The sequence below is a fragment of the Homo sapiens genome, chromosome 22 (assembly GCF_000001405.40).
Source record: "Homo sapiens chromosome 22, GRCh38.p14 Primary Assembly".
In the NCBI taxonomy this organism is placed as follows: domain Eukaryota; kingdom Metazoa; phylum Chordata; class Mammalia; order Primates; family Hominidae; genus Homo; species Homo sapiens.
The window spans coordinates 46,646,874-46,659,903 of record NC_000022.11 but is presented as its reverse complement, the minus strand read 5'-3'; the positions used below and the strand labels follow the sequence as shown (position 1 = coordinate 46,659,903).

At 59.4% G+C, this 13,030-nt stretch overlaps 1 protein-coding gene across 17 annotated transcripts in view; it reads right to left on the bottom strand.

The window, feature by feature from the left end:
- GRAMD4 (GRAM domain containing 4) overlaps positions 1–13,030 on the bottom strand; it is a 107,013-nt gene that overhangs the window by 22,853 nt on the left and 71,130 nt on the right. For 16 of the 17 annotated variants that reach the window (XM_006724169.2, XM_047441210.1, XM_011530012.2 and 13 more), the window contains one exon: positions 1,597–1,717. In XM_006724169.2, coding sequence (XP_006724232.1) covers positions 1,597–1,717 — 121 coding nt within the window. Of the gene's footprint in view, positions 1–1,596; positions 1,718–9,890; positions 10,020–13,030 lie in introns of those variants that run through there. The other variant, XM_047441212.1, reaches the window with a different exon arrangement.

Genomic DNA, 13,030 nt, shown 5'->3' with positions numbered 1-13,030 from the left:
TACATAATTAAATGTAATTTAAGCTTTGAGCTTCTGTGGATTTTCCCAGAAGGTTCAGCATCAGGTAAAGCGCCTGCCGAGGCCCATGCACCCATTTCTGGTCTGGGAGGTTCTGCCAGGGCGGAATAGGAAAGTGAGGCCTCTCCCTCCCCCACACCAGCTGGATGCCCCCACATGAGCCCCCACATGAGCCCCCCAGGGCACTCCACAAGGTCATGCTGACCTGCAGGAGGCGGGCAAGGAAGAAGTGGGAGTCAGCCCAGCGGATCCCCCGTCTTCCCACACACTAAACCTGAGGGTGCTGAAGGGAGCCGCTTCCTCAGGGCCAGCTAAGCAGCGACACTTGGAGTCCTGACAATGACACACGGCCCCCGGAGCGCTCATAGCAGGCAGTGCTCAGCTGGGGTGTCCCAGAGATGCCGTGTGCCTCCCTAACTGGTGACAGCCATCCATGCAGGTCATGGGGGCCACAGACAAAGGTGTGGCCAATGGTGGTGGGAGGCTGAGGTGGGAGACCTGGAGGGAGGCTAAGTGGAGGCTGGAGGGAGGCTGAGTGGAACCTGAGTGGGGAGGCTGAGGGAGTGGAGTCTGAGGACGGAGGCTGAAGATGATGCTGGGGGGAGGCTGGGCAGAAACTGAGGGTGGAGACTGAGGGGGGAGGCTGAGGGAGTGGAGGCTGAGAGGGAGGCCGAAGCAGGAGGCTGCTGGAGTGGAGGCTGAGAGGGAGGCCGAAGCAGGAGGTTGCTGGAGTGGAGGCTGAGCGGGAGGCCTGGGAGCCAGAGGTGAGTGGCCTGAGCTCCCTGGCCTCATGTACCAGGCACCAGTTTGAACTTGTGCAGAGGGACACGGAGCCTCGTGGTGTTAGCGAGACAGGAGGGCACTGGCTTTGTAACTTGCGCTGGGGTCCTGAATGACCTGCTTCCTGCTGGCGGCACTGTGAGGCGCAGGGCAGGGTGAGGGAGGAGACTGTGAGCACTCAGGGTCCCACATGGGACCCACAAACAAGAGCAAAGATGTCAGGTGCAGACATGCCTCTCTAGGAGCCAGGGCGGCACTGGCGCCCAGGACATGATACTGCTAGGATGGGGGCAGGGGGGCGGGGGCCACAGCGTGGCTGGGGCAGACAGGGGGCATGGGAACACGCACAGGCAGCACTGGGAAGGCAGGTCCTGGGAAGATCCTAAGAGGCCGGGCTGGCCCCCGGGGTGGGGCACTGGGTGGATGTACAGAATGGGGTCACCAGCAGGCCGGGATCAGAGCCATGAGGTGGCTCTGGGGCTCTGCAGGCCCCATGCCAAGCCTCTCTTCAGTTGGCCTGGCCCCAGGCCTGGGGGCTGGCAGGAGCACCTGTGCACCCTTTTCCAGACCGCCAGAGGCACAGGAAGATGACACATTCCCAAGACCACAGCTCATGCAGGCACAGGCAGGACCTATACCTGGGCAGTCAGAGCCGGGCCCACCCTCACACTCAGGCCTCTCCAGGGCCAAGAATGATGCTGCCAAGACGCTATGGGTGCAGCAGAGGACGGCGGGGCGGGTGGGGTGGGGGGTTGGGGCAGCCGCACACAGGCCAGGGCCCCGAGGAAGGCGCGGTACCTGGCCTTCAGCACCTCCTGCACCTTCTGCTCCAGCTCCATCCGCCGCTGCCGCTCGCGGTCCAGCTCCTGCCGCAGCATCTCCGCGTTGGTTTCTTCTCGCAGCTTCCGGAGCTCCTCCTCTATGGGGGAGAGAACGGCCAGGTGACCATCGCTCATGTCCACGCGACCCCGACTCTGGGATGCTGGGGCAGGGGTGCCTGACTCAGAAACAGCAGAGGGGTCTCTGCTCCGTAAGCGGACCTGAGCACCTGACCTTCCTCCAGGGTGCGGGGCGCTCACAGCAGGACATGAACTGGTCCCCATCCAGCCCTTCCTCCTGGGCAGGAGCTAGTAACGGGGCTCCTCTTACATGACTGGGGCAAGAGGTGGGTGAAGCAAGGGTGTGAATTTCCTCACTATGCTTCATAACAGTGCAACACAGAACACAAAAGCCATTTCACCAAGCACCGCCACGCTGAGGACACCTGCGGAAAGGACGCTGACCACACCTGGCCAGCCCACCACACCCACCCAGCGCCTCCATGTGCTGGGTGAGGTTCTGGGACGCGTCGGCAGCAGAGCAAAGGCCCTGGGCCAGCGGGGACAGCCCACAGCTCAAGCTGGCCAGGGGGCCTGAGAAGAGCACGGGGCAGGCTGGACACAGGGCTGCTCTGGGAAAGCCTCGGGAGAAGGTGAGTTCTGAGTCAAGGCCTGGAGGGAACACAGCGAGGCCACAGACCCTGGGAAAGAGCATCCAGGCAGAGGGAGGAGGCAGGGTCAGAGGTCAGAGGTCGGAGAGACTGGAAGACTGAGGATGGAAGGGGCCAGGAGCCAGGGAGTGCAGGCAGCCTCTGGCAGTCAGGACACTTCTACCACTTAAAGACAGGAGAGACGGGGACCCGGCCTCTCTCCCGCTTCCTCTGCCCCATCCCTGCCTCTTCCTCCTAAAACCAACACCGCTGGGTCACCTAAGGGCAAGCCTGAGGCCCTTGCTTCTCCCCCACTGCCCTCCCAGGGCCTGGCACAGGCTCCACGCATGAAGAACAAGAGCAACAGACCGATGAGAGCAGAGAGCTGGCACCTGTGAACGCCCACAGGTCCTCGGTCCTTCTCAGAGGCCTGGGCCACTGACAAGACCCTGCCCAGGCGCTCCCCACCCCAGCCCATCCACCCTCCTCTGTGTGGTGTCCCCTGCCCAGCCCAACCCTGTCTCCTTGACAGGCTCAGGCAGGTGGCCCCAGGGCCAAGGTCACGGTTAAGTTCAGGTGGAACAATGCTGGTTTACGGGGCAGCAGTGGCTTGCAGAACCCAGCTGAGGGTCACCTAAGTGCTGTCTCTCCCCAGAAGGCTGCCTGGCTGTGGCCTATGGTGGCTGAGGGCTGGCTGTGGCCCATGGTGGCTGAGGGCTGGCTGTGGCCTATGGTGGCTGAGGGTCCAGATCAGTCAGCCTCGACTTCAACTGCACAGACCACACTGACCATGGGGCGGACACGCTGAGACCTTATAAAATGGCAATGGCAGCAGGAGAAGAGCGTTTGCTGGAGTCCCAGGAGATATTCCTGAGACAAAGGAACGTGGCTGATGAATTCACCCAGGTTCTTGGGCAGGGCCAGCAGCCAGACCCCACCAGCGTGAGGCAGGAACCCTTGGGGGTCTGGCCAGCAGCCCAAGGCTGAAGGCAGGCTTCTAAGCCTGGAAGTTTCTTTCTGGGTAGGGTGGGAGTGACCCCAGTAGCTTCCTTTCCTGTCCTGGACACCTCACCACATGACTTGGGGCCACAGGGCCATACCTAAGACTCCAAAACTGGGGCCAAGGGCAGTATGACAGCCTCAGGCCCCAGTCCCAGCCAATGTCCAGGAGTAGCCGTACAGAAACAGCAGGGGGCCGTGCCCAGGCAGGGAGCAGCCGCGGGTGGACTAGGGTCAGTAAACCCAGAAGCCAAAGGTCAGCACACCTTCCTGCCCGGCAGCCACAGGCTCACGGTACCCAAAAGGGAAGAGACAGGCACCTGCATCTCACCAGCCCCACTCCCACTGGGGGTGCTGGATGCTGTTACTCGCTGTTACTAACCAGAGAGAAAATATTCGAATTTACCAAGGGCCAGGATCCACTTGCCCAGTGTGGGTGCTGGAGCTCTGCCCTGCTCCCCGGCCCGCTGGGATCGGCCCTTCTCCAAGCATGGTTTCAGTGTCCTTCAGCATCCTGGACTCCCGAGAGCCCCCCAGGGCAGCTGAGCTGGCCTGGAGAAGACCCTCCCCGTGGAGGCTGGGGTGGGGGGCACTGGGCCTGTCCCTGCGGGCTGCCCAGTCTCATCAGGCTGGTTCCCTCCAGAGCTCCCCCTCCCCGCCCCGCCTCCGTTCTGGGGAGAAGCGTCTGGCCCTGGCACGGCTACTTTTCTCCGCGGACGGAGGTCCCCGACCCGCTGACATGGCCAGGCAGAGCGTTAGCTGAAGCCGGTGCCTCCCCAGGGCTCAGGACAGGCTGCAAGGTACCAAGTGCTCAGTCCCGGAGCTGAGCAAAGGCGGGGTCAGAAGGGAGGCAGGTGGCCTCTGCCTAGGGCCTTGGGGAGGCTTCTGGGTCAGAATTAGGGGCAGGGTCCAGCCCGGCCTGGGGCTCCAGTTCAGAGCAGCAGGAAGGAGGTGGCAGGAGCTGCAGGGCCCCTGACCCAGGGCTGTGGGGGACACGTCTCCAGGGCTGAGGGAGCTACCCCCCAGCCCTCTCTGGGCGGCCGGCTGGCTCCTTTACAGCAGAGGGGAGCAGTGCCAGCCACATTTGGGCGGGGGCCCTTCACCCCCTACACATCTGGGGTTCTTTCTTCCAAGATCCCAGATCCATCCACTCTGCTGGTCTCTCAGCTGCCCCAGCCCCATCCCCATGTTCTTAACCGGCCTCCCAGCTCCTGGCACACCCTCCCGTCCGGCTCCAAGCTGAGGTCCAAGGCTGCTTGTAAAGCACAAGCCAGAACTTGTTGCTTTCCCGCTTAGAACTCCTCACCGGGCTGGCAATGAATCCAACTTCCCAGCTTGAAGCTCCCTCCCGAGGCCCCCACCCACCCACTCCCAGCCTCAGCACCCTCCACACCACCCCTCATCTTTGCTTTTTGGGCTTAAGCCACAGAGACCTGCTTTTAGGTCCTCAAATGTCCAGAAAATATTCAGATTTGCCGAGGGTCGGGCCTGCCCCAGGACTTTTGCATGTGCTGGCCCTGCTCCCGAGGAAGCTTCTCTTCCACCCTCCAGGGTAAGCTGTCCCTCAGCCTCAGTCCTGACCCCAATACCACTTCCCCGAGTGACTTCCCCAACAGCCCCCCCATCTGGCGTAGCCTTCTGTCATCTTCTCTCACGGGTCCTGCTCTTTCCTCTTGGGGACATGATTCCCACTCCGTGTGCTGGGTGGGGATTCCCAGAAATGGCACACAACCTCCTGGTACAGTGTGACGTTTCCAAGCCTCCATTACCTGCAGGCCTCCCTGACTTGTGCCCAACACACCCCACAGGTTCCGGAGGAGGGACCACCCCGGTGTCACCATCTGTTCTGGCCCCAAGACCCAGCCTGGCCCAAGGAGAAACCAGCAAGATGTGGGGAAGGGAGAGTGGTTGGGAGGGGAGCTTGGCCAGTTCTCACGTAGTGCGTCTAGCAGGGAGGGCAGATGTGCTGACCAGCGGGCCGTGCACGGAGTGGAGGCAGGCGGGGACTTGGGAATTCGGTGTCACAGCCCTAACACGGGGATCAGTCCACAAACCCCACCCCCTGCAGGGACCTCCACCCAGCCCCTTGCCAACCTTGCATGTGGCACGAGCCCCCAGCCCCCCGCCCTCGTGGAGCCACTTGAGGGCCGGCTCTGGCACACCTTCGTCAGAAATACTCAGGTAATCATCACACGCCGGGCTCTGCCAAGGCGCCGGGACACCACCATGAACAGAGGGGACAACACCCTGCCCTGAGAGGGTGCCTGGGTGGGTCCCCAAGAGCAGCATGGAGCATGTGAACCCACTGCGTGAGCCCGGGCTGGCCCTGAAGCCCTTGGTGGGCGGGTCCATGCCCCAAGGCAGGAGGAGCCTGGGGACCCTTCCTCCGAGGGGTCACACGCCCACTGACAGCCAGGAGAGCCTGGGCATCTTGGCCCACCTGAGATGGATGCTGCCCTCCCACCCTACCCCCCAGCCACCTCCAACAGACCCGATTCTCAGCCTCCTGGCCCCTCTTTCGGTGTGGCTGGCATACAGAAGGGGCTTAATCAAGGCTCACTGGATAAGCGAAGGAAGGAACCAAATGCCCCGTCAGCCGGTGTTTCTCCCCAAAGGGAGCGTCCGCCTGGCTCAGTCCCAAATTCGGAGCCAGCTGGGGAGGGTTCAGAGAGAGCCACGGGGTGTTTCCATCTCATGCCTCTGTCTTCATGTTGTGGCAGTGACTCTATCACGTGGGAACACAGAGGTGAGACAAGTCACACTGGGCAGGCTTGCTCCCGGCAGGCCTCTTGGGCGGAGTAGGCCAAGGCGGGAAGGCTCAGGTACTTTCCCAGGTTAACTCCTAGTACCCACACATCACCTCCTCTGATCTTGGCCCTGTCAAGGTCAAGGCAGCCCACATGCCTCTCCATCCATAGGTCAGAGAGGCACTTTGGCCCCTCCCTGCACGGGTAACAGGAAACCACATTTTCCTAAATGGGGCTGCCCCCTACGCCCCTTCCTGGAGTCACTAAGCTGTGAAAGGGCAGCAGCCAGCCAGGTTCCACCACGCGGCAGAGCACTGGCCAAAGCTTGAGCCAAGGTGGCCAGTCCCAGCCCAGGGACAGATGTGGATGGATGCGGACACGGGTCCCTCCTGGAGCCTGGGATGCCATGTCATGCCTGCCTGTGTGAAAAAGCACACTCACAAGCCTGGGTTCAGAGGTCAAAGGGGTCTCAGGCAGCCGCCCCTCTTTCCACCCTGGACCTCCTGGGGTCAGGCTCTCTGCAGAGCCCTGACAAATGTGAACGCCAGAGCCCGGCCATCTTCACTGCTCAGAGCCCAGAGGACGCCATGTGAACGCCAGAGCCCCGCCATGCTCGCTGCTCAGAGCCCAAAGGATGCCTGGCTCCCGGGGCAGCGGGCGGCACGGCCCCCTCAGCCTTGCAGACAGGGCTCCTCGGACAGCGTGGCAAATCAGCCTGTCCCAGCTTCCGGAAGAGCCATGAGGCTTCCCACCTTTGCCCAGTGTCGTTCCTGATGGTACAAAGACAGCTAAGTAAACGAAACCAGCTGGAGCGTCTGACCGCTGCTCTCCCATGAGTCCTTCCTATCTCTGAGCACACGGCTCCCTGCAAGGCCAAGCTGCTGTCTCTCCCGAAACTGAAATGATGATCACACGCCCCACGACTCCATCGCACCGGCCTGCCTCCTGCCCACCAGCGACACATTCAGGTCAACTGCAGTGTGCCGAGCACAGCTGTATCTTTCCACAGGACAAAGGAGATGCAAATCCCCCATCATCAATTTTTCTTTCTCTTTCCCGAGTAAGAAAAGAAACAGGAGGGCCGATTTCCAGCCCGGAGCAAACTACTGAGCTGCTATTCACACGGCAGATTCCTCTCGTCCAGCCCCGGCCCCTGTCCAGGCACCGAAAATCTGCAGCTGCTGCTGAGGCTCTGGGTTCCCTCGGCCTCCGGAGTGGGCCTCCTTGTGCCCCGAGCTGCTCACAGACACTGAGGACGCCGGGCTGCCCCACCCACAGGCCTCCCTGCCCTGCAGGTCAGGGCCAAGGTGTCCTGCAGGGTGGGGGTGGGAGCGAGGCCACACACAGGGCAGGCCACGGAGCCCCTTGGTGACCTCTGCATTTGTTTCCCATGGCTCACCACCAACACAGTGGCTTAAAACAACACAAACGTATTCTCTTACAGTTCTGGGGTCAGAAGTCCAGCCTGGGTCTCCCTGGGCTGAGCTCATGGCGTGGGCAGGGCTGTTCCTTCTGCAGGCTCCGGGAAGGGGGAGACCCATTTCCTGCCTTTCCAGCTTCCTGAGGCTCCTGTGCTCCTTGGCTTGCGGCCCCCAGGGAGCAATGACGTCACTGTGACCTCTAACCCCACCCTCACATGGCCTCCTCTGACCTTCCTGCCATCTCCTTCTCAGAACCTTTGTGGTGACTGTGCGCCCCCAGATAATCCAGAACCATCTCCACCAAAGGTCGGCGACTCATCCACATCTACAAAGTCCCTTCTGCCATGGGAGGCCACATTCACAGGCTGGGGGGACATGGACACTCTGTGGGGCCATGAGTGTGCCAACCACACTCTCCCTCGAGACAATCGTGTCAAGCAAAGGAACCAAGTGCCTAGGCAGGCTGGGACAGTCCTCTTCCTTCCACCTGGCCCGGCGTGGACTTTCCTGCCCCTGGCAGTCCTTGGGTCATAAAACCACTGGAAGCCCTCCTTTAGTGGGTCCAGGAGCCCTAAAGGAGTACAGCGTCCCTGGCAGCCCCTAGCTCCGTCTCTCTCCCCCCCACCTCCAGCTCCGCCCTCAAAGGCACCTGAAGCAGGATTCCCCAGTGCCGCCACCAAGGCGGCCCCACCAGAAAAGTGCACACCGAGCCTCTCTAAACCCCCGCAGTGAACAGCACGGATGGAGGAGGTGTTCCAGAGTCACCCACGTGGCCCACAAATGCATGACCTGCCACAGCGCATCCTAATGGCAGCACGGGGCACCTGCTCTCCCAAGACCCCCTGCACCTGTCTTGGGCACAGACATGTGCAAGACGTGTGTGAGCAGAGTCCAGGTGGCAGCCATACACGCCGCACAGGGATGGGAGGCTGCCCGGGTGCACCAGGATGCGTGTGATATCACACCTGCCGGGGGCCAAGTCACAGGCGGAGACCCAGGGATAGGAGCCGTGGCCCGCAACATCAGACCAGAAAGTCACAGCCCTGCAGCAGCAGAGAAGCCACCACATCAGAGGCCACAGCTTGTGCAGATCCCATGGCACTGTTTCCAGCCCAGTGAGCTGCGCCTCTTCCAGGGTCGAGGGCCGGCCGAAATAGGCTGAGTGCACAGCAGACCTGGTCACAGCAGCCACCAAATGGCAAGGAACCCAGTGGGAGGCCAGGGGCCCAAAATGCCTGCCCAAGGAGTGAGTCGGAACCTAGAACCTAAGTCCCAAGGGAGCTCCTGGAAAGAGAAATCTGTGCCTGCCTCGTGAGTTCTCATCCAGGGGTCTGCTCCCCCGATGCCTAGGAAGGCACATCAGCCGTCTCATTGTCAGGAAGGAAAGCGAGATGGCCCGGGTACGTGGCACACAGGGAAACCAGGATGGCCACCCGATGGGCCAGGGCCTGCCCCCACTCCAACCTATCACAAGAGCCACTGGGCAGAAAAATATGTCGAGGAGAGGGGAAGATGGAAGGAAGCCCAGGGGACACTCTGCGTGCCCAGAGGGACCCTCAGACCCACAGGCGTCTTGCAGTCAGGGGTCAAGCTCTAGCGCAAGGTTTAGGGACGCTCACAAGGAAGAGTGACTCTGGTCCTGCAGGCAGCCCCACCCACTTCCAGTCAGCACCAGCCACCACTCTCCAAGGAATGAAGCAGAATCAGCCACAGACTAGGAGCCCCCGGGACAGGACAAGAGCCTGGCGTGGCGACACATGGCACATAGAAATCGCCCCCACAGAGGCTAAAGGAAGCCCTGGGACAGCCAGGCTGGTTGTGCACCCACCTGCTCCAGCCTTCACGCCTCCCCAGCATCTGCGAGGAGAAGGGCAGGGACAACCACCTCACTGGTCACTCCGGGGCAACCCCCAGAACGTTCTCTGATGAGTGAACGGCCACGCTGATTTGAGGGGAGGCAAAGGAGATGCATCGGCTCAGGCCTACACAGGCCCAGACTGTGGGGCTGAGGCCCAGCCGTCCACCCAGCCTCAATGCTCAGCCCTCCACCCAGCCTCAATGCTCAGCCCTCCTCCCAGCCTCGACGCCCAGCCCTCCACCCAGCCTCGACACGCAGCCCTCCACCCAGCCTCGACACGCAGCCCTCCACCCAGCCTCGACACTCAGCGCACAGGGAAGTTACTGGGAGGAAGGAAAGCAGTTCTGCGGCTATTTTTAAACCTGTAAAAGTAGATCTCTCAGGCAGGAGTCCTCTTGGCACACGACTGATTCAACAGGCCCAGCCTCACCCAAAAATAAAAATCAAGTGATAATCTTTAAATAAAACTCCTTCCCACCAGGCCAGGGGCGCGAACTCAGAATCCACCCAAAAAGCTGCTCCTGGCCTGGCGGAGTCCCGCATCCCCGGAGGCCCGCACACCCAGAGGCCCCACCTGGCCACCTCCCCCGGACTCTCACCTGAACTCTCCCAGCCCAATTCAGCCCTCCTGCCATCACCACAGGAACTTTCTAGAAGACAGGCACTCCCTCCATCGAATCACCAGGCTGCAAGTTACACTGCAGAGCCCAGAGTACGGCTTCATCTACAGCCACCAGCACAGAGGCAGCCCTTTTAACCCCTTCCTCCCGTGGCCCTCCCTGCTCAGGGAAAACAGAGAATTCCAAGAAATGCCTCGCTTTTATTGTGAAGTTTTGCCTGCATTTTCTCCCTAACATTTATTTATTGCGGTGTCATTTACCGCTATGTGCAGAGATAATGTTTACTGAACGATCAACTGTCAACACTGTCTTGGCTGATAACCAGGAAGGAGCAAGCTTCCAAGTGCGTCACATCCTAATGTTGAAGGCTGCTGAGCACATAGCTGGCCAACCACCGTTTTAGGTACATTTCAGGACACCAATGCAGGATCTAAGGTGGACAGATAATGTACTGACATTTTTACCACGTCAAATAAGAAGAACTAGGATCCCAGCCAGGGTTTTCACCCAGAGCAGCTGGTTTTCAGAAACCGACGCCTGCCTCTCCCTGTGAGAGGCACGCGGCATCTGACAGCCTGTGGGCTGGACTCTGGGGCTCCGGCCCAGCACGGAGCCAGGAGAGTCGTGTGCTCGACAGCACGTGCCATCCCTCGCCCCCACAACCTCCCTTTCCAACCAAGCGCTTGGCACCCAGCAGCCAAGCCCTCCAGGCCCCCAGTCCCTTCCCACAGCAACAGGCTCTCTGCCAAGCACCTGCTCCCTGCTGAGTGTGGGCTAGGGGCAATCAGGGACACTCCCCAACTCCAGTTCCAGCTGGTGACTCTAGGCCCCAAAGCACTAGGAAGCAAAGGTGGCACAGATAAAACTGCATCTGGGACCAAACACCAGACAGAATGGGAGCAAGGTGGTGCATCTGGAGCTCTGGAAGGTGGCCAGTAAGGCCTTAAAGTATATGCAAAAGAGTATGCCTGGTGGAGGAAACAGCCTATTGGTTCATTTGTCTACCTATCCATCCATCCATCCATCCATCCATCCATCCATCCATCCATCCATCCATGCATCCATCCATCCATCCATCCATCCATCCATCCATGCATCCATCCATCCATCCATCCATCCATCCATCCATGCATCCATCCATCCATGCATCCATCCATCCATCCATCCATCCATCCATCCATCCATCCATGCATCCATCCATCCATCCATCCATCCATCCATCCATGCATCCATCCATCCATCCATGCATCCATCCATCCATCCATGCATCCATCCATCCATCCATCCATCCATGCATCCATCCATCAATCATTTACCCACCCATTACCAAATCTACCCATTCGTTTGCCTTCTCATTGATGCATCCATCTATCCAATCATCCATCCATCTATCCACCCACATGTCCATCCATCCACACATCCACTCACCCACCCATCTAACCATCCCTTCTCCCATTCACCCACCCATCTGTCTATCTACTCACCCATCCATCCATTCATCCATCCATCCACTCACCCATCCATCCATCCATCCACTCATCCATCCATCCATCCATCCATCCACCCATTCACCCATCCATCTACCCATCCCTCTGCCATTCACCCACCCATCTATCCATCCACTCACCCATTCATCCATCCATCCATCCATCCATCCATCCATCCATCCATCCACTCACTTGTCTGTTCATCAACCCATCCATCCACCCAACATTTACCCATCCATTTACCTAATCTACCTATTCGTTTGCCTACTCACTGATCCATCCATCCATCCACCCACCCATCCATCCATCTACATGTCCACTCATCCATCCATTTATCCATCCACCCATCCATCTTTCCAGCAATGCATCCATCTACCCATCCACCCACCCGTCCACCCATCTACCTATCCACTTACCCACAGCCATCCATCCATCCATATAGACACACATAAAGTTGTGCGCTGAGCATCCAGTAGCTGCCAGGCTCTGGGCCCAGGCCCTTGGAAATCACAGATAAGGCAGCAGCTACCTTTACTCCCTCCCATATGACTCCAGTTGGTAGATGAATATGACAAATAAGGGTCTCCTTACAGAGCTGGGACATCAGGACATGCCAACTGCTGCATCAGTACTCTCCATGTGCCACGAGAGAGCCCATCTCTGCCATGTAGCCTCATCTACAGATGAGGTGCAGAGGACGGGAAGGCTTGCTGGCCTGGGGAATGTCTCACCCACTGCATGCAGGACCTTGGCTGTGAGGCCAGGGAGCTGGGATGTGTTCAGCAGGGCGGGACGCAGTGACTAGAGAGGTCACAGAGGTGGGCAGTGGTTCCCGACTTAACACTTCCCATGGAATTCAACACAGGCATCATCCAAAACACCTGTCAGACGACAATGCTGGACCCAGGACCTGCAGCCGTTGCAAAACACACAGGCAGGTGTGTTCAGGCTCCCTCTCTGACTTCATCCCAGCCCCTGGGGGCAGCAGGGAGGAGGCCCCCCACTGGCAGGATCAGGGGTTTCTCCTTTGAGGTGTGAGCTCCAGGGACAGGACAGGCCAGGAACTCGGTGTGGTAGGGTCAGCTCACCCCTGTACTCAAAGATCTGTCCTGGGCAATGAAGTATCCCAGGGCCAAACATCCACAATGTGTAATTAAAGAGCAGACAGGAGTTCATGGGGCAATGGAGGTGATGGAGAAACAGGGATTGGGGGCCAACTTCATTTTTTCCTAGGGAAATTCCATATAATATAGACACGCTGCTGTATCAGTGCCACCTGTCTTCATCTTCTGCCTGTCTGCTCCCTTCTGTAGGTCTGGGTCACCCACTCACAGTCGTCACTTATTAAACATGTCACTCTAGGGCAGAACCAGACCAACCCAGTGTCTGGCCCTGGAAGTCTGATATGGTTTGGCTGTGTTCCCACCCAAATCTCATCTTGAATTCCCAAGTGTTGTGGGAGGGGCCCCGTGGGAGGTAATTAAAACACGGGGGCAGGTCTCTCCTGTGCTGTTCTTGTTGTGATCGTGAAGGAGTCTCACGAGATCTGATGGTTTTATAAGGGGGAGTTTCCCTGCACAAGCTCTCTCTTTGCCTGCTGCTATCTGGTAAGATGTGACTTGCTCCTCCTTG